The following is a 19,354-nucleotide window of genomic DNA, read 5'->3' as shown; positions in this document are numbered from 1 at the left end:
ATTATTTTTTATTTTTATTTTGTTAGAGACAAAGTCTCATCATGTTGCCCAGGCTGGAGTGCAGTGGTTATTCACAGGTGCAAATATAGCACATTACAGCCTCAAACTCCTGGGCCCAAGCTATCCTCCTGCCTCAACCTCCTGAGTAGCTGGAACTACAAGCGTGCACCACTGTGTCATGGCACTTTGTTTAGACTTACATTACAGCTCTTGAGGAGGTAGAACGTATCCATTAGGATCCCAGACTTTGCAGCCTAACCACATCAGTCAAAATTTCCCCTCTGCCTATTATTAGCTGTGTGGCCTTAACCAAATGACCTCCTTCCACAGCTGGAAGATGCAGAAACCAATATCATGGAATTTTTGTAAAGATTACATGAGACAACACACATTACAATGTTTGGCACATAATAAATGATCAATGTTAGCTATTATTATTAGCACTTCCCAGCTATTATTATTAGGCTTCCCCACTAGACCGTGAGCAAACTGTTTATCCAAGGATCTGTGTGGCATGGGAACTTACAAATGGTAGACACACAATAATATTTGTCAAAATGGTTTGAAGGTATGCCAGGAAGAGGAAAGGGAGGGTGCTGGAAAAAACCATAGCGTACTTTATGATTTTTCCCAGGGCCAACTTCTGTAGTGTTTGTTTTTATTTCATTACCAGAGTACATTATCTCAGACAGCAAGGTTGCTATAAAGTAGGGCTAGAAAGACACTATTTATGGAACCAGATGTTCTGTTCAGAGAAAGCAAAGTTGGCTATGAGGCATCTGAAATCTCCAGTTTGGCCCTTGGCTGAGCAGGGAGTAGGGGCTGAAGTTCAGCCAGAGCTTCACTTGCCCAACAGGGTGCCCTGGCATGGGGTTACATTAGCTCTGAAAATCATCCACCCAGAGGGATGCATTTTGTTTTTCAGTGTATCCACATAGAGGGACGTCTTTACAGATTGTGCCAAAGATCTATATGTACCAGTGGGGAACCCTACTGCAAACTCAAAGGTCCCCTTTTAAACAAGCCTCTTGAAGGTCTCAAATGAGCATCAGCTAAAATAATAATACTTCACTTACTAAATATTTATTGAGTTCCCATTAGGGAACTCAAGGTGCTAATGGCTGACAAGGACCTTTTGGACTTGCACAAGAGCCTGGTGTGTACCACCTTCTAAGGAAAGCTTGGGATGTTCTCTGAGAGGAACACCAAATTCAAGAACCTGTCCCAGGGGCTGATGAATGTGGCTGCCAAGCTGACCCACAATAAGTACGTCAGAGGACCTCACAGACCTCATGGAGAAGGTCATTGAAACCTGACACCTTAACCATTGGTTGCTGAATGACATGTGCTCTTCCTGAATCAGTACTCAGCATATGTCCACTTCCTGCGTGGCTTCTGGCCCTCTATGACTGCTATATGGTCATCCTCTGTGGCTACCTCCTGTACCCCTATCATGACTGAGGCCCCTCTCCCACCACTCTGCCCACACTGATGAGAAAGTTGCCACAAGTTTAGAGACTAAAAATAAAATTGCACTAGACACTGCAGATCTAAAGGTGAATACAGAAAATATAATTGGAAGGGAGAGAAGGTGATGCAGAGGGCAGGAGCATGGACAAGTATGATGAGTGCCACCTTAGGCATAACTGATGAGGTACTATAGAAGCATCCAAGATGGGGGCTAATCTAGACTTGAAGGATTAGAGAAGGCTTAAAGGGGAATAACACCCAATATGAGGCTTCAAGCAGTGATAGCAAATGTTAATATTTATTTAGCAATACTATATATCAGGCCCTGTTCTAAAAACTTTGCATGAATCCCTCATTCAGTCCTTACCACAACCCTGTAAGATAGATGTTACTGTTATTCTCTTCATGTTACAGATGATGAAACTAAGGCACACAGTAAATGGTGGAGCTGAAATTCAAACCCAGGCAGCTCGGCTCCAGACTAAAGGGGAAGCAGAGTACCAGATAGGCCCTTAAAACAGAAGAAAGTGCCTAGCTTCAGTCTGAGGAAAGATGCAGTTCCTTTGGGGAACTGAAAGCAACTCAATGAGGCGCAGCTTGGGGTGGGGACAGACGTTCAGAGATGACTGGGTCTGCTCTGTAGGTTGGAAGAAAAACCAGAAGCAGAGGGTTTCAGATCCAGTCCAAATCTTTTTTTTTTTTTTTTTTTTTTTTTTTTGAGACAGTGTCTCACTCTCGCCCAGGCTGGAGTGCAGTGGTGCAACCTCAGCTCACTGCAACCTCTGCCTCCCGGGTTCAGGTGATTCTCCTACCTCAGCCTTCCAAGTGGCTGGGACTACAGGCGCACACCACCACACCCAGCTAATTTTTGTATTTTTAGTAGAGACAGGGTTTCATCATGTTGGCCAGGCCGGTCTCGAACTCCTGACCTCAGGTGATCCGCCCACCTCGGCCTCCCAAAGTGCTGGGATTACAGGTGCGAGCCACCACATCCAGCCCCCCAGTCCAGACTTTTGACAACTAGCTGTGACTGGTGTCACCAAACTAACCCCTTCTGACCTCAGTTTCTCCTTTTTGCAAAAGACCATAATAACAATACCTGCTTCTCATAGAGAATGGCCATGAGCACCAAATGAGGAAAATGTATGTGAACTTGAGTGCAAAGTACAAATTCCTTCACAGACTTAAGATTTTACCAGTATCACTTCCCCAGTAGCTTCAAGGATTTGCAAACCTGAAATCCACAATGTCAGGGCACCAGAAAAAGCAGAGAAACAGTATTGGGGAGTGGAAAAGCCCACCAGCCCTGCCTCAGACCACCTCCATCCACACTCAGCCCTTACTAACTATGAGATCTCAAGGCAAGTTATCCTCTCAGTACCTCAATTATGCCATCTGGAAAATGGGAATGTCAATGATAGCACTTGTAAGGTTCATGTGACAAGTAAGTAGCACATGTAATATGCTAGGTATAGCTCCCAACACAGAATAAAGACTTAGTCAACATTAACAGCTATCATTATTGTAAGTATTAAGAAATATGTTGGCTACTCATGCTATTCTTCCATGTTCTATACGGTATAAGCATGTGGGAATGTTAGAAGTTAGAGATGATAAAGAAGGAGGAGAAGGAGGTTTACAACCCTATACTCCCTCACTGCTGCAGAGATTCTTCCTGGCTCTCACACGCTGGCAAGCAGCTGGCTCTCCGTCTTGGCAGAAAATGCCCAAAAGAGGTAAAAGATAGAGACTGCACACCATCTGTGCAAACCAGGCTGCTCTTGTAGTTTTTAGACAAAATCTAAATGTAGTCAGATGTGACCTGCCCTTTTAAGATAGAATTATTCTATTTCCTCCCTCTACCCGTCCCCGTCCCCCACTCTGTCCCCCACATAAAACTCCCCCACATATCTCAAGAAACTTTCAGCATTTTGAAAGACATACTCTGGGGTCCTGTTGTGACAGCCTTGTGCCACATTAACTTCTCTGTCTTGTTCCCAGCAAAGAAGCCTTTGCTAATTTCACAACAGGAAAGCATGCAAGAAATTCGAGAACAAAACAAATCTACACGCAGAGCCCAGCATCTTCAAGCAAACACCCTGAGGTACAGACCCGAGGCTAGATGAGTCCGGACTGCAGATGAGGCAGCTGCCTCTTAAACTGCAAGGGGACTGAAAAAGTCATTTGCCTCTAAAAAAACCAACTCTGAATACAAATTGATAATGAATATTCATGAGCCCCTCCAGCTTGCTCTAGAGCCACCCTTGACTGCAACCCTGGACTCTGCTTCCTAAAAAGTTTCCCAAAGCTCTTTCTCTGCCTCCTCTCAGAAGGAAGAGGGTGGGAAAGTTCATTCAGGGCTTTTTGCCTCCAGCTTTCAAGTACTTGCTTTTTGGTCTGGGCTTTTATTTTTCCTTCTATTTTTTTTTTCTTAAGGATTCAGATCAAATCAATTTTGGTCTTACCCTTTGTATCTTCCATAAGTAGCAGCTTTTGTTTTCCTCCTCTTTCCTCGTCTTTCCCCCCCCCAGCCTCTGCTTGCTGTGGTCCGTCTCCGTGAGAGAGGTCCTCAAGGAAACAGAGATATAACAGACCCTTGGGCTCGTGGGAGGGGCTAAATTAGCCGGCCCCGTTTCGGAAGGAACCTCAAACCCTGTCTTTTTCATTGACTAGAAAGGACAGATTGACTGAGGAGTCCAGCAGCTCATTTTCCTAAAGTTACTCGAAGCCTTTTCCAGGTTGTAATTTTTTGCATCCTTGAAGCAATGTATATTCAAATCTCTCTCTCTTTCTCCCTTCTTCCCTCTCTCCCTTACTCCCTCCCTCTTCATCTCTCTCTCCCTCTCTTCGTTATAGAAATCCCTTTTTCTCCCTTGAAAAAGTCATCTCAGCTGCAAGCAAAAAAAGCTATTCCTTACTGCAATTATGAAGCTAGATAATAAGAAAGTTGTTACCTTGAAACCCGCTCGAAAAACTGAAAGTCAAGAACAGTTCTTCCCTCCCCATAAAGCCTCTGGTCCCATGACCAGCAATCCTTTCTCAAGGCTCATTAGAGCAAAGAGCAACAGGTGACCCAAGCGATGAGTTTCCTGCAGGAGACGCTGCGTTATTGGTTGGAAGGCTGGGTGGAACCACAGAGGAGCTGCTCAATGGGAACCGCTGCCTGGCTATGAATTGATGAAAGTCATCCACCATTTCCCAACTTTGACTTCCTACCTTTGAAGTCTAATGAGCATGAATTACCACATCCAGACCGTCAAGATTACCCCAATGTAGATGAGAGCCTGACCAAATTATTTTTAAACTGTGTAACAAAATTATTTTGAAATCAAAACAAGGGCTAATCCTTTGAAAGGAAGGTAAGTCCTCAAGTCCCAAGGCGACTTGGCAGCTTCTCCCTCCACAAGGCTGTTGCAAACCTTAGCATTTCAGGTCTGAAAGATACCTCAGACATTGAGTCTAAAAGAGGTTAGAGATGTGGAGAGGTTAAGCCACCTGCTCATGCTCACATACATGGTCTCTCTTATTTGCTACCATGTTCCCCAGCACCTAATACAGTTTCTCTCACAGCATGGGCTCTCAATAAATATTTGATGAATGGTTGAAAAAAATGAATGAATTGCAGCAAAGCAGAAATGTAGATCTGTTTTCCTGTTTCCTAGTTCTTGATTTTTCTACATTGCTTGTCTGGCATGTAAATTTGTATCTAAAGCCAGTTATACCATATAAATCATTAAATTTGTGAGCCCGAAGGACTGTTTTGACTCTATGTAGAAACTATATTCTCCAGCGAGCTTTCAGTCATACTTTAATAAGGACAAAGGATAACCTTTTAGTTTAGGCATCTCTGTTACTTTGCACGGTGCCACATGGTATATACTCAATACATTTTTTATACTTTAATAAATTTGGAGCTGTTTAACAATACTTTATTTCTGAAATGCTTTATAGTTATAGGATTTTGCATGTATGATAACAACTAATTACACTGAATGAAAGACTCAATGGATGTCTTCTCCCGAGTCAGTTTAGACTACATCTCTAATAATGAATATTGGTCTGATATTCATCCTGTTATGATAAAACTGGTTTTTGGTGATATGATGGGATTTTTTGTAAAAACCAACAATTGGTTTATGACTGCCTTTGTACTATTGTTTTGGAGAGAAATTTGAAAAGAGCATGTCCACAAAATAGTGTGCGAATTACAGAATGGAAACCAAAACATCAAAGCTAGAAAGAGAAAAGAATGATCAAAGGGAAGATCCAGAGTGGCTGAGGGGTAGGCAGGAGAAACAGACAAACAAGTACCTGAGCTTGTCAATGAGAGACACACTTTGGTGGGTGCTGTGGCAACGGTTCTCTACTTTATTACATTAGGATATTAGGTTCTTTTTTTTTTTTTTTTTTTGAGACAAGAGTTTTACTCTTGTCTCCCAGGCTGGAGTGCAATGGAGCCATCTCAGCTTACTGCACCCTCTGCCTCCCGGGTTCAAGTGATTCTCCTGCCTCTGCCTCCAAGTAGCTGGGATTACAGGCGCCCGCCACCTTGCCCAGCTAATTTGTGTATTTTTAGTAGAGATGGGGTTTCACCATGTTGGTCAGGCTGGTCTCGAACTCCTGACCTCAGGTGATCCGCCCGCCTCAGCCTCCCAAAGTGCTGGGATTACAGGCGTGAGCCACCATGCCTGGCCTATTTTACTACGTTCTTACATTCTTTTTTTTGAGACAGAGCCTCACTCTGTCATCCAGGCTGGAGTGCAGTGGCGTGATCTTGGCTCACTGCAACCTCTGCCTCCCAGGTTCAAGTGATTCTTGTGCCTCAGCCTCCCGCGTAACTGGGATTATAGATGCGCACCACTAAGCCTGGCTAATTTTTGTATTTTTAGTAGAGATTGGGTTTCACCATGTTGTCCAGGCTGGTCTCAAACTCCTGGCCTCAAGTGATCCGCTTGCCTTGGCCTCCCAAAGTGCTAGGATTACAGGTGTGAGCCACAGTGCCTAGCCACAGTTCTCTATTTTAAACAAAATTAAAATTCAAGGTCACTTCAGTCATGTTGTATCAGACGTTGTCGACAAAAGGTTACTTTGACAATTGTCTCATTCTCTTTACATTTCATCAGGGAGAGAAAGAGTTAGTAAAAAGTAAATTGTTCTAGTACCCAACTTCTGGTTTAACCAGGAGAGGTAAAATCTCATTATAGTAACTAGCACTTCATAAATATTTGAAGTTCATCCAAACTGAATATGGAGTAATAGAAACATAGTTTTAACCCCTAATTCATATTACATGAGCCTTTTGACAACATTTAATGCTTTTTATGGTAATATGCTCTGTGCTACAATTTAATCACGTTGTCCAGGTTCGCACCCTCCTCAGCATCATGAAAATACTATGGTTAAGTATATATTATCACCAATTCATACAAGAATAATTATAAAAGAGATGGGAGTTTGTGTGTATCTTTCTAAAGGCCTCAGAATTTATCTTAAAAAATAAATCGTCTTTCTCAACAAAAAATTATCATCAATTTTATTGTTTTTTTTTGTAATAGAAAGTAGAAAATTAAAACTGCACTCAGAAAGATGGAAGGAGTTGTCAGAAAGGGGTAAAGATATTTGTCTGTCTTTTAATGATGAAATGGTCTTATAAAGTTCTTAGAATGGTAGAATTTTCATTTTTCCTACACCTTCATCCTCTTTCACTGTACCGGTTCATCCCCCTATGCATATAAAATATTTAAGTGATTCTCATTCTTAAAAACAAATTCTGTTGTTTAATGGTATGAATTATTAGTGTTGCAAGATGAATAAATTCTTGAGATTGGCAGCACAACAATGTGAATGTACTTAAAAATACTTAAGTATACTGTTAAAAATGATTAATATGGGCCAGGTGCATTGGCTCACCGTGTAACCCCAGCATTTTGGGAGGCTGAAGCAGTAGGTTGTCTGGAGGCCTGGAGTTTGAGACCAGCCTAGGCAACATAACAAGACCCCATCTCTACAAAAATAAAAATAAATTTTAAATGATTAATATGGTAACTTTTTTTTTGAGACAGAGTTTCGCTCTTATTGCCCAGGCTGGAGTGCAATGTCGCGATCTCAGCATCTCGGCTCACCGCAACCCCTGCCTCCTGGGTGCAAGTGATTCTCCTGCCTCAGCCTCCCGAGTAGCTGGGATTACAGGCATGCACCACCACACCCAGCTAATTTTGTGTTTTTAGTAGAGACAGGGTTTCTCCATGTTGGTCAGGCGGCTGGTCTCGAACTCCTGACCTCAGGTGATCTGCCCACCTCGGCCTCCCAAAGTGCTGGGATTACAGGCGTGAGACACTGGGCCCAGCAATATAGTAACTTTTATGTCTATTTTATCACAATTTTTAAAAAATTAATTAAAACAAAAACAGCTCCTTCACAAACAAGCTACTTGAGACCATGGTCTACCTTTGCCTTCCTTCATCACCTCCATTCTCTCCTCATTCATTTACTCCTCCTTCCATTGCATTCCCGTTTCTCACCGCACCATGCCAATGAAACTGCCCTAAGATTGCCAATGGCCTGTAAAGCAAAGACCAATTTTTGTGTTTTATCTTCTTGGATCTATGTAGCATGGGCCATTGTTGGCCTTCCTTCTTTCTTGAAAATTGATCTCTCCTTATTTTCCAGAACCCCCCTCATGTCTGATTTTCCTCCTCCATCTGTGTATGATGGCTCCTTTTCAGTCAACTTTTGTGTCTTGTAAATGTTGGTATTCCCTAGACCTTCACCCTTTGCCTTCTCTCCCTACTTCACTTATTCTACCTAGGTCATAACTTCTTATGCCTTTACATTTCTGCCAAGTCCACTCCCATGAGCACCAGATCCATATTTCCATCCACCTACTGGGTGTCAAGAGAATATCCCACAAGCAGCTCAAACTTAGCATCCAAACTGTACTCTGTATCTTTACTTCCAAATCTGCTCCCATCCAGTACCAGTATTCCCTACTTTTTTTTTTTTTTTTGAGACGATGTCTCACTCTGTCGCCCAGGCTGGAGTGCAGTGGCACGATCTTGACTCACTGCAACCTCTGCCTCCCAGGTTCAAGCGATTCTTGTGCCTCCACCTCCTGAGTAGCTGGGATTGCAGGTGCACACCACCATGCCTGGCTAATTTTGTGTTAGGAGAGACAGGGTTTTGCCATGTGGTCCAGCCTGGTCTCGAACTCCTGACCTCAGGTGATAGGCTGCCTCGGCCTCCCAAAGTCCTGGGATTACAGGCGTGAGCCACTGCGCCCAACCCCTACATTAGATAATGGCACTACCATCCACCTAGTCACACAACCCAGCAACCTCAGGGTCCTCCTAGACCCCTCCCCACATCCCACATCTTATTGTTTACCAAATCCAATTGTTTCTATACCTTAAGATCTCTCAAATTCATCTCCTCTCTCCATTCTCGTCACTTCTGCCATAGTGCATACTCTCTCATCTTTCTGAAATCGATATCTGATAATGTCATTGGCAGACTTTAAAAATTCTAGTCTCCTTATCATGCATAAAATAAAATTTAAATTCCTGTCATCGAATATGTAAGGACTCTCTCTACCTCTCTAAACTCATTTCCTGTTATAGGCTTCCTGCACTCCAAAAACTGAATCTAATTCCAGGACCCATAATCCTTATAAAACTCTGAATTTTTGTTTTGTTTTGTTCTGAGATGGAGTCTCGCTCTGTCACCCAGGCTGGAGTCCAGTGGTGCTATCTTGGCTCGCTGCAACCTCCGCCTCCCAGGTTCAAGCAATTCTCCTGCCTCAGCCTCCCAAGTAGCTGGGACTAGAGGTGCGTGCCACCATGGCCGGCTAATTTTTGTATTTTTAGTGGAGATGGGGTTTCACCATATTGGCCAGGCTGGTCTCGAACTCCTGACCTCGTGATCTGCCCACCTTGGCCTCCCAAAGTGCTGGGATTACAGGCGTGAGCCACCGCGCCTGGCCACAACTCTGAATGTATACAAGCTATTACCCTGCTCAGAATGCTGTTTCCCCTCTTATCCACCTGGTCCTCCTATATATCTTTCATGACTCAAATATCTGGTCCCCTGTGTTAGGCCATTTTTGCATTGCAATAAAGAAATACCTGAGACTGGGTAATTTATAAAGAGGTAATTGGCTCATGGCTCTGCAGTCTGTGCAAGAAGCATGGCACCAGCATCTGCTTCTGGTGAGGACCTCAAGAAACTTACAATCATGGCAGAAGGTGAAGGGGGAGCTGGTACATCACATAGCAAGAGAGGGAGCACGAGAGAGAAAGGGGAGGTGCCAGACTCTTAAACAACCAGATTTCAAATGAACTCATTTTCACCAAGTCATTCATGAGGGATCTGCCCCCAGGACCCAAACACCTCCCACCAGGTCCCACCTCCAACATTGGGGATCACATTTCAACATGAAATTTGGAAGTGACAAATATCCAAACCACATCATCCCCCGTGAAGTTTTGCCTGACCCATCCCCGCTCCTTTCCCACAGACACAAACACTGTGCTGACCCACAAAAGAGATGCCACTCGTGTTATCATGTTTTATAATTTCATTAACATCTCAGGCCTTAAACCTTGGAGTCACATTTGAATCCTCTTTCCTTACAATCCAAGTCTAATCCTTTAGCAAATTCAGCGGTTCCTATCTTCCAGATACATCCAGGACCTGACCTCTTCTTATTACTTCTACTGCTACCACACTGATCCAAGCCACATCATCTCTCACCTGTATCCTGTATTATTGTGATAGCCTCCTCACTGGTCTCCTCCCAGATTCTACTCTTCAAACTCTTCAGCCTATTTTCAACCCAGAAACTATAATAATTCAGTTAAAAATTAAACAAAACAAAAGATTATGGAACTCTTTTGCTCAAAATTTATAAAAGGCTCCATCTCACCCCAAGAAAAGCCAAAGTCCTTCCAACTTCCCACCAGGAAGTTGGTCACCTCTATTTCTTTCCTACTACTGTCCTCTTCTTGCTCCCTCAGCTCTAGCCTCCAAGTCTTTGCATATGCTGTTCTTTCTGCCTGGAATGCTGTCCTCCCGAATATCCACATGGCTCATTCCCTCCTTCCCTATAGGTTTTTACTAAATCATTACCTTCTATCCCAGCACCAAGATGGCTATTTGTAAATGCTATTTTCTACTAAAATGGCCTAAGGCCCTTTGGAAAAATAGCTAACCAAGTCTGGGGCAGGAGGTATACCAGAAAGCAAGGACACTATCTAAAATTACTAGGGTTGTGTCAAAAGGATTCAGGAGCTAACTTTAAGTGGCTCCTACTGGCCAAAGTATAAGAAAAGAAGACATTTGAGCAGCAATAAAAAGAATAACTGCAATGGATTGAAATGTATCAGATATATTGAGATCCACATAGTCATAATGACCCTATGAAGAAATCACTGTTCACCTTTAGAACGAATTCATTATTGTGAAAACACACAAGGGGGATAATAGCAACACTCAACCTCCCTTTGCTGCACAAAATGTACCCCAGGACAACAAAATCATTGATGGGGAAAAGTGTCTTTAAAGTATTCCAGATAATGAAAGACTAAAATTGGTAGCATTTGGGTATCACCATCTTGCAATACCTCACAAAGGAATGAACATAAACAATAATCATCAATGACTGTTCACATAACAAAAGGGGGTATAAACATTCATTCTCTGCCTTCTGATGGAAGCACACATCACATCCTCTGAAGCTGTCTTCCCAAAAATGGAAGCTTCTAAACCTAATACCAGTTTGTGGGGAAAAGAGGGCACGGATAAACACGTTAAAAAAATACAACAGGAATGCAATCAGTAAAATCCAGTTTGTAGGAGACTAGACTAAAACAATCAATAAAACAACTCAACTTCTTGAACAAATAAACTGCAGAGAAGAAAAAAGAGAATGAGTTACCTATAAATTAAAAGAGATTTAAAAGATATACCAATAAAATTAATACCAGGACCTTGAAATTCTGATTCAAACCAATGTAAAAGAAACTTAAAGAAAATCAAAGAAATTTGAAAACTGACTAGATATTTTATAATATTATAGAACTGTTAACTTTTAAGGTATGATAGTAGTATTGTGGCTATAATTTTTCCAAAGCCCTTATCTGCTGGAGACACACACAGAAATATGTACAGATGAAATCTGAGATTAGTTTCAAAAAGAGGAGGAATGGGTGAGGTACAGATAAAACAAGATTAGGGATGACATTATAACTGCTGAAGCTGGATGGTATATGGGGATATGTTTTATTATTCTCTCTACTTTCTATGTTTGAAATTTTTTGCAATAAAAGGCAAAAAAGAATCCTGGTGAAAAAGTGGGAGATTATTTGATGATATGCAGTGGTTATATGGGGTATTATTACTGTTATTTAAGAAATGTAACTGAATATTTCCTGAGTCAGTAGACATATGCAAAATGGACTTGGGTAGTTAAAAATAATGCTATAATTTGGCAAGATGATACTCACAAAATAGGCTATTTCACTTTAGGGGCAAATAGAAAAAAGAAATAATTTGGGCCGGGTGCGGTGGCTCACGCCTGTAATCCCAGCACTTTGGGAGGCCGAGGTGGGCGGATCACGAGGTCAGGAGATCAAGGCCACCCGGGCTAACACAGTGAAATTCCGTCTCTACTAAAAATACAAAAAAAATTAGCCGGGCATGGTGGCGCATGCCTGTAATCCCAGCTACTTGGGAGGCTGAGGTGACAGAATGGTGTGAATCCAGGAGGCAGAGCTTGCAGTGAGCCGAGATGGTGCCACTGCACTCCAGCCTGGGCGACAGAGCGAGACTCCACTTCAAAAAAAAAAAAAATCATTTGCCAGAAAAATATAAGTAATTGAACAATAAACTGATCAAAGCCAAAAAAAACTGTTAAACCAGTGTAAGCAAGAAAAGTATATTCACCATGCAATTTGTCTGTTGTGTAATAATCAGGCAGCAATATCAAGGTTTCCTTAGATTTCCCTGTGGAACTTAACATCAGATGTAGAAATCAGGAAGGACCATACACAATGTCCAATATGCAATATGCTATTGTGGTTTGATGGTTTAAGGCACACTCCATAAACCCAACAGTGACCAAGCAGGAACCACATAAATTGGACTAAGTAGTAATGGTAGTTTCTGCATCATTAGGGGCCAGATAGGGGGGACAGAAAGGACAGAGCTAGTCGGATAGGGTGGAAGATGAGCATTCTGTTCTCTATATTGTTTCCAGTTCTCCATTAAAACAGAATTCTATTGATAAAACTCATGAGAGGTGGTACTCTGGTTTTACGTATCCTAAAATAAATGCCCAAAGTAACTATTGTATGAAATGACATGTTTTGCCAATTCCAAGAATGCCTGTGTTTATGTATTCAACTTTAGTTATAGATGAATATACGAAGAGGTTCTTCATAACGTATGTCAAAGTGTTCAAAATATTATGACATTTGAACATTTTGATTTGAATCAAAATATTATGATGCTCATGGTCAATTTCAAGGTTAAAAGGAGACTGTAAAATAATGGATTTTTATAATTGAGATGCCATAGATATGGTAAATCGCAATACTTCAAAAATCTTGGGGTAAAATGTTACATGTTATATGGCAATTAACAAATCTAATCTCAGGAATTCAAAATTATTTTCCTACCAGCAATAGATCCATGCCCCATCTTTTTTATGATCCCTACAAACCAAGATAATAAGTCAGTACTATTTGGTGTTGGTGAATGCATATTCAACAAACCAAAGTTGTCAACAAATTTGGAAAACTGTATCAAATTTTCTTGACACTACTTGACATTGTGCTTTGACAGTCTATCAGCACTACATATACGTGTTTTATCAAAAGAGGAATGCTGATTAAATTAATTCAATTGAATTTGTATTTCTCCACTATCAATAACAACCTCTCTTCTCATTCCATCTGCTTACTTACAGATATCCAGAGATGAAAAGGACACTGTGGTGCAGGGTAGGAGGAGCAGAGAAAAAGGGATGGATCTGAAAGTGTTCCAAGAGTATTTAGAATGCACACTCGTTCAAAAAATGCCCCGTCCCTTCTTGTGGAAAGTAGTAGGAGTGGCACTGCCTCTTTAGTCAGAGCCATGGTTCTCAACTTCAGCTGCACACTATAATCACTTGGCCCAATTATAAAAAATACTAATGCCCATCCCAACCCTCAGAGATTGGAATTTAATTGAGTTTGGGGTAGGTTTCAGCCACGTTTTTTTTTAAAGGCCAAGATGATTTTAGAGTGCTGCCAGAGCATTAAGAAGATCTGGATTCAATTCTTTTTGTATGATCTTAGACAAGTTAGCGAGCCCTTCTGAACCCCAATGTATCCATAAAATAAAGGTCTTTTTTTTAATCTACTTCACAAAGCCATGTTGGAGGTAAAAAAGAGAATAAATATGTGAGAACTCCCAACACAGACTCTGGCACATAGGTGGCACTCAGTAAGGGTGAGTTCTCTTCCTCTTCACTATGCACTAATCTATGTTCAGATTAAACAAAACATTGCCTTTTGTACTTGTGTCTCTTGCTTTTTCCCCCTCTGATATCTTCCACTTATTTTTCAGAAGTAACCTAACGGTACTTGAAGGAAATGAGAGTCAAAGTCCTTTCCCTTCTATAGCACAAAGGGCCTCTCCACCCCTTTTCCCAAAGTTAAGTGATTCTATGTATTCAACCAGCAGCTGTGGGACTGAGGCCATGTTGGGAGAGGGAGTGAAGTATGACATGAGATCACCCATGTCTTCCTATTTCCAGGTAGTCAGGGAGGAATGCCCTAACTGAGCTTGGGGAAGCCCTTGAATGTGGCAGAATGGCCAACTCTTCCAAAGTGAAAGTCTACAACCCAACGTGGCAGCAGGAGAAGGTAAGCCTAGAGTACACAGCACAGCAGCTTCAAGCACAGCAGACACTCAATGAGAGTTTGCTGAACTGAAATGAAGATCCTATGCTACGGCAAATATCTAACCCAATGCTAGTACTCAATGAAGTCAGTGCTGTGTAGGCATTACCTTAGTTTTTTTAGCTATAACTACTTCCTCTCTCTTGCCTTGCATGAGTGGATTCTCTTACATAAATGTTCTGTTGAAATATCCCCTTTAACTCCTTTATCCTACTCCCACATCAAGTGCCTCAATTTGTCTAAATGTCTCAAAGGTCTGCAGAGATAATAAGTGACTGTCACTTCATCAAAAATGGTAAGATTGGCCAGGTGCAGTGGCTCAAACCTGTAATCCCAGCACTTTGGGAGGCCAATTCAGGAGGATTGCTTGAGGCCAGGAGACCAGCCTGGACAACATAATGGATCTCGTCTTTAAAAAATGAAAATTAAAAAATTAGCTGGGCATGGTGGCTCATGTCTATATCCCATCTACTTAGGAGGCTGAGGCAAGAGGATCACTTGAGCCCAGGAGTTCAAGGCTGCAGTGAGCTATGATTGTGCCACTGCACTCCAACCTGAGAAAGAGAGCAAGACCTTATTTCTAAAAATAAAAAAACATTTAAAAAAAGTAAGATGTTATTGCTGCTTCAAAACACAAATCCAAATCTGTGAATTGCAAGTATAACTGATAAAAGCTATAATTTCTTTAAGGTCAAAGATACTCATTTTCAAACAAAGTACTCATTATCTATGAAAGACCAATCAACTTATTAGAGCTCCAAAACTTAAAAATATTTTTAAAAATTTAAATTTTTTAAAAAACTGCTTACTTTAAAGAGAGACAATAAATAAATGAGTGATTACCAAAGATTCATCAGGGTAGGGAAAGGTCGAATAAGTAAAGCAGAGGGGATATTTTCAGATTGATAAAATTTTTCAGTATGATACTGTAATGGTGGATACATGACAATATGCATTTGTCAAAATCTACAGAAATTTAAATCACAAAGAATGAACCTTAACCCATACAAAGTTTTCAAAAATTATTCAGGAAGTCAAGGGAGCCCAGAATGAAATTTAAATTCTGACAAAATAATGGAACTGTATTACAAATGTGTGAAAAAACCTCACAGAGGGAGGTAGAGGAAAAGGGTGCTGACCTAGTCACTTTTTTTTTTTTTTTGAGACAGAGTCTTACTCTGCCACAGAGGCTGGAGTTCAGTAGCATGATCTTGGCTCACTGCAACCTCTGCCTCCCTGGTTCAAGCAACTCTTGTGCCTCAGCCTCCCAAGTAGCACACCACCAAGCCTGGCTAATTTTTGTATTTTTAGTTGAGATGGGGTTTCACCATGTTGGTCAGGCTGGTCTTGAACTCCTGGCCTCAAGCAATCCACCTGCCTTGGCCTCCCAAAGTGCTAGGATTACAGGCATGAGTCCCCACTCTCGGCCCCAAGTCACTTTAGATGTGAGTAAAGTCTACAGGACCAAAGGCAAAAGGAACTGTGTAAAAGTACATTACTCTGTCTCCCAAGATTCATAATTCTGAAACCACTATACATGTATACTGGAATCAGAAATTATGTAAATGGATGACAGACAATAGGAGTCAGGCTTCTCACTGTTAGAGTGGAAGGTTATAGACAAGTAAGGGGAAATGGCTAGAATGATCCATGTGGTAATGGATTAACGTTAGAGACATCAGTATGAACTCAGGTTTAGCTTAATAGGGATACATATGAATAAATGTAGAACTATTTATAGTTGTGCATATATATATATATATATATATATATATATATATATATGGTTTAAAATACATCTATATTTTCTTGCTCTGTCAGCAGAGTGGGCCTATAAGCAATGATACTGCAGTAGCAATAAGCACATCTAACCCCCAGATTTTTGTTTCTATAACCGTTCTCCAGTAAAAGGAACCAGAATTCCCCTGATAAATAGGTGACTCTAGGCTGGGGACAGGAAATATTACAAGACAATCCTGGAGTATCTTATGGGGCCAGAAAGTAATTAAGAAAAAAAAAGCTTACAATGATGGGGTGTGTCAAAGTGACACAGGAGCCAATAGAGCTTCCAATAGCCAAAATTAGAATAATTTGAACAATAAAATAGAACCATATTCAAAGATAATCCAAAGTATAAAATAAATATCCACGAGTCTATACTGAAATAGACTATTAGTGTATTTATGAAATAGAATATTTAACAAATGAATTATTAAATAAACAAATGGGAGAGAATAGACAAATCCATACAGAAGAATTTCAAATGAGTTACATAAATACTCCACTCTCTAGGAGGTAAAGCATAACTCCTCACTCCTTAAGTATGGCCTGCATAGTGACTTCTTTCCAAAGAGTGCAGCAGAGAAAAAGAGTAAGAAAGAGTGACTTTACAGTGGAAAAACCTGACAAACACTACCTCAGCAAGGCCATCTAGATTAACATCAACAGTGATAAATCATGTTGATAACACATATCCTTGGTATGATGTGATGAAAATGGCACTCTGTGGTCTTCCTCCAAAAAGTGCATAACTCGAGCCTAATCATGAGAAAGATATCAGACAAATCCCAATTGAAGGACATTATACAAAAATTTCTGACCAGTATTTCTCAAAACTGCTACGGTCATCAAAAATAAAAAGTCTGAGAAATTCTCACAGCCAAGAGGAGCCTAAGGAGTCATGAAGATTAAATGTAATTTGGAATCTTGGAACAGAAAAGAACATTGGGTAAAAACTAAAGAAATCTGAATAAAGTATGGACTTTAGTTGATATTAAGGTATCAATATTGGTTCATTTATTGTATCAAATGTACCACACTAATGTAAGATGTTAATAATCAGGGAACTGGGTAGAGAGTACCTGGTAACTTTCTGTACTATCTTCATAACTTTTCTGTAAATTGAAAACTATTCTATAATTAAAAGCTTATTTTAAAAAATATGTTAACAGTGTATAGATATTTAACTGCAGCTGTTGTACCGGAAACCCCTTGTGAAGCCCATCTTTATTAAAGTAACTGCTTTAATGACGACATGATTTTGCAAAAGCATTTGTTACACATGATTTCTTGTTCAAACAGAATTCATTGTATCCACATCCAGCAAAGCAAAGTTAACTCAGGCTGTGTGCCAAGACACGGAAATGGCCTTGTTACATTGAACTCAATGTGAAAACATAGTAGTATTCAAATCTTTCCATCCACAACACACAATATTCCCATTGGTCTAAAAAAAAAAAAAGAAAAAAGAAAAAGAAGAAGAAGAAGAAAAAGAAAAAGAAAGTTTCTAAGTTGATTTTCTAGTATCTTAAAAAGTTTCCAAATACATGTCACTGGAGAGCAGTCAGCAACTCTAGGGGGAGGACAGGAAGGAGTAGCGACTGCTGGTTGCAGCACTTGAAAAAAAAAATAACAAAAGGAAGGAAAAGGCCTAGGCTTCTCCAGACGGGGTTACCCTTATTTGGGAACATTGCCAGACAACTTAAAGTAGCTCTGAGATGCAGAAAAGCTAGTGTTAAGCAAAATTTACTACACTAACCAACCGTTAAGTGCCCCAGAATTGTATTAATACTTGCCAAGCAATCAAGACTCCAAACAGCATAAATCTCTGTCTTCTACTTCTGGACCTTGCTGGGCCTAAGAGTCAGTGGAAAGTTTTGAAGAACACATGGCCCTTAGACTAATGCCGATGACCTTATCAGCATGGCCCACACACCCAGCTTTTGAGGACAATAATATCCCACAATACCAGAACAGTCTACAGCAGGAAGCTCCTATGTTGCTGTTAACGCCTCCGCCTTTGCAGAGATCAGCCAGGGGTGACAAATCTTTGAGGTAATGCCAAAATCAGGCCTCCTGTTCTCCTTTACATTAGGCCCTTCATCCTCTGGGGGCAGCAAAGTCTGAAGAAATAGGAAAACAGAAAAAGATAATAGTAATAGCAATTTTTATACTTTTGAGATCATTACTTAACCTAAGATGATTGTCTCAGCTCATCCTTCAGGGTCTGGCTCAAACCTTGAATCTTTCAAGTCTTCCAGCTAACCCTCTCTCCTCCAAATTCTAAGAGACTTTCATAAGTGCCAAGCAACCTGGGAACTGCTTAATGCCTCACACTGCTGATTTTTCATATTTTATGTTTCTTACAGGCATACTCCACTTGCTTGTGCTTGGCTTTATTGTGTTTCACAGACGTTGCGATTTTTACAAATTGAAGGTTTGTAGCGACCCTGCATTGAACAAGTCTATCAGTGCCATTATTGCAGTACCATGTGCTCACTTCATGTCTCTGTATCACATCTTGGTAATCCTTGCAATATTTAAAATTTTTCATTATTATTATACTTCTTATGATGATCTGGGATCAGTGATGTTTGATATTAAAATTGTAACTGTTTTGGGGCACCATGAACCATGCCCATATAAGATGATGAACTTAATTGATAACTGCTGTTTGTGGTCTGATTGTTCCACTCACTGTCTGTCCCACTATCTCCTCCTCTCCTTGGGCTTCCCTATTCCTTGAGACACAATATATTGAAATTAGGCCAATTAATAACCTTACAATGGCCTGTAAGTGTTCAAGTAAAAGGAAAAGTCACACATCTCTCACTGGAAATCAAAAGTTAGAAATGATTAAGCTTAGCAAGGAAGGCATGTCGAAAGCTGAGACAGGCTAAAAGCTAAGCTGCTTGCAGAAAACAGCCAAGTTATGAACGCAAAGAAAATTTCTTTAAAAAAAGTAAACACAGTGCTCCAGTGAACACACAAATGATAAGAAAGAGAAACAGCCTTATTACTAATATGGAAAATGTCTGAAAGGTCTGGATAGAAGATCAAACCAGCCACAACATTCCTTTGAGCCAAAACCTAATCCAGAGCAAGACCTTAACTCTCTTCAGTTCTATGAAGGCTGAGAAAGGTAAGAAAGCTGCAGAAGAAAAGTC

At 40.7% G+C, this 19,354-nt stretch overlaps 1 protein-coding gene and 1 long non-coding RNA gene across 33 annotated transcripts in view, besides 4 other annotated features; one reads left to right on the top strand and one right to left on the bottom strand.

Moving 5' to 3' along the window:
• The window catches only part of ENTPD1-AS1 (ENTPD1 antisense RNA 1), a 337,030-nt gene extending 330,045 nt beyond the window's left edge, over nt 1-6,985 (top strand). Inside the window, exon 6 of the long non-coding RNA NR_038444.1 lies at nt 3,477-6,985. This is a non-coding gene — a long non-coding RNA (ENTPD1 antisense RNA 1). The remainder of the gene's footprint in view (nt 1-3,476) is intronic.
• ENTPD1 (ectonucleoside triphosphate diphosphohydrolase 1) overlaps nt 1-19,354 on the bottom strand; it is a 183,082-nt gene that overhangs the window by 117,076 nt on the left and 46,652 nt on the right. For 13 of the 32 annotated variants that reach the window (NR_199793.1, NM_001776.6, NM_001440937.1 and 10 more), the window contains exon 1: nt 3,936-4,028. The exons of 6 other annotated variants lie outside the window; for them this stretch is intronic. Coding sequence is in view for 13 of the 26 variants with exons in the window: in NM_001776.6 (NP_001767.3) it covers nt 3,936-3,951 (16 nt within the window). In the remaining 13 variants the exon portion in view is untranslated. Of the gene's footprint in view, nt 1-3,414; nt 3,628-3,935; nt 4,029-4,424; nt 4,540-17,983; nt 18,158-19,354 lie in introns of those variants that run through there. 13 more of the 32 variants (NM_001312654.1, NM_001440935.1, NM_001164178.1 and 10 more) reach the window with 4 other exon arrangements.
• Nucleotides 2,778-2,837: a silencer, noted in NCBI's record as "silent region_2650". NCBI's record gives its function as "represses an Ori minimal core promoter by ATAC-STARR-seq in GM12878 lymphoblastoid cells {active_cell/tissue: GM12878}" and the evidence as "EXISTENCE:reporter gene assay evidence [ECO:0000049][PMID:35858748]".
• Nucleotides 4,168-4,467: an enhancer, noted in NCBI's record as "active region_3804". NCBI's record gives its function as "activates an Ori minimal core promoter by ATAC-STARR-seq in GM12878 lymphoblastoid cells {active_cell/tissue: GM12878}" and the evidence as "EXISTENCE:reporter gene assay evidence [ECO:0000049][PMID:35858748]".
• Nucleotides 17,974-18,033: an enhancer, noted in NCBI's record as "active region_3803". NCBI's record gives its function as "activates an Ori minimal core promoter by ATAC-STARR-seq in GM12878 lymphoblastoid cells {active_cell/tissue: GM12878}" and the evidence as "EXISTENCE:reporter gene assay evidence [ECO:0000049][PMID:35858748]".
• Nucleotides 18,044-18,133: an enhancer, noted in NCBI's record as "active region_3802". NCBI's record gives its function as "activates an Ori minimal core promoter by ATAC-STARR-seq in GM12878 lymphoblastoid cells {active_cell/tissue: GM12878}" and the evidence as "EXISTENCE:reporter gene assay evidence [ECO:0000049][PMID:35858748]".

This window comes from Homo sapiens, chromosome 10 (assembly GCF_000001405.40).
Source record: "Homo sapiens chromosome 10, GRCh38.p14 Primary Assembly".
NCBI lineage: Eukaryota > Metazoa > Chordata > Mammalia > Primates > Hominidae > Homo > Homo sapiens.
Note: the sequence above shows the minus strand (reverse complement) of the source record. Positions and strands in the feature narration are given on the sequence as shown.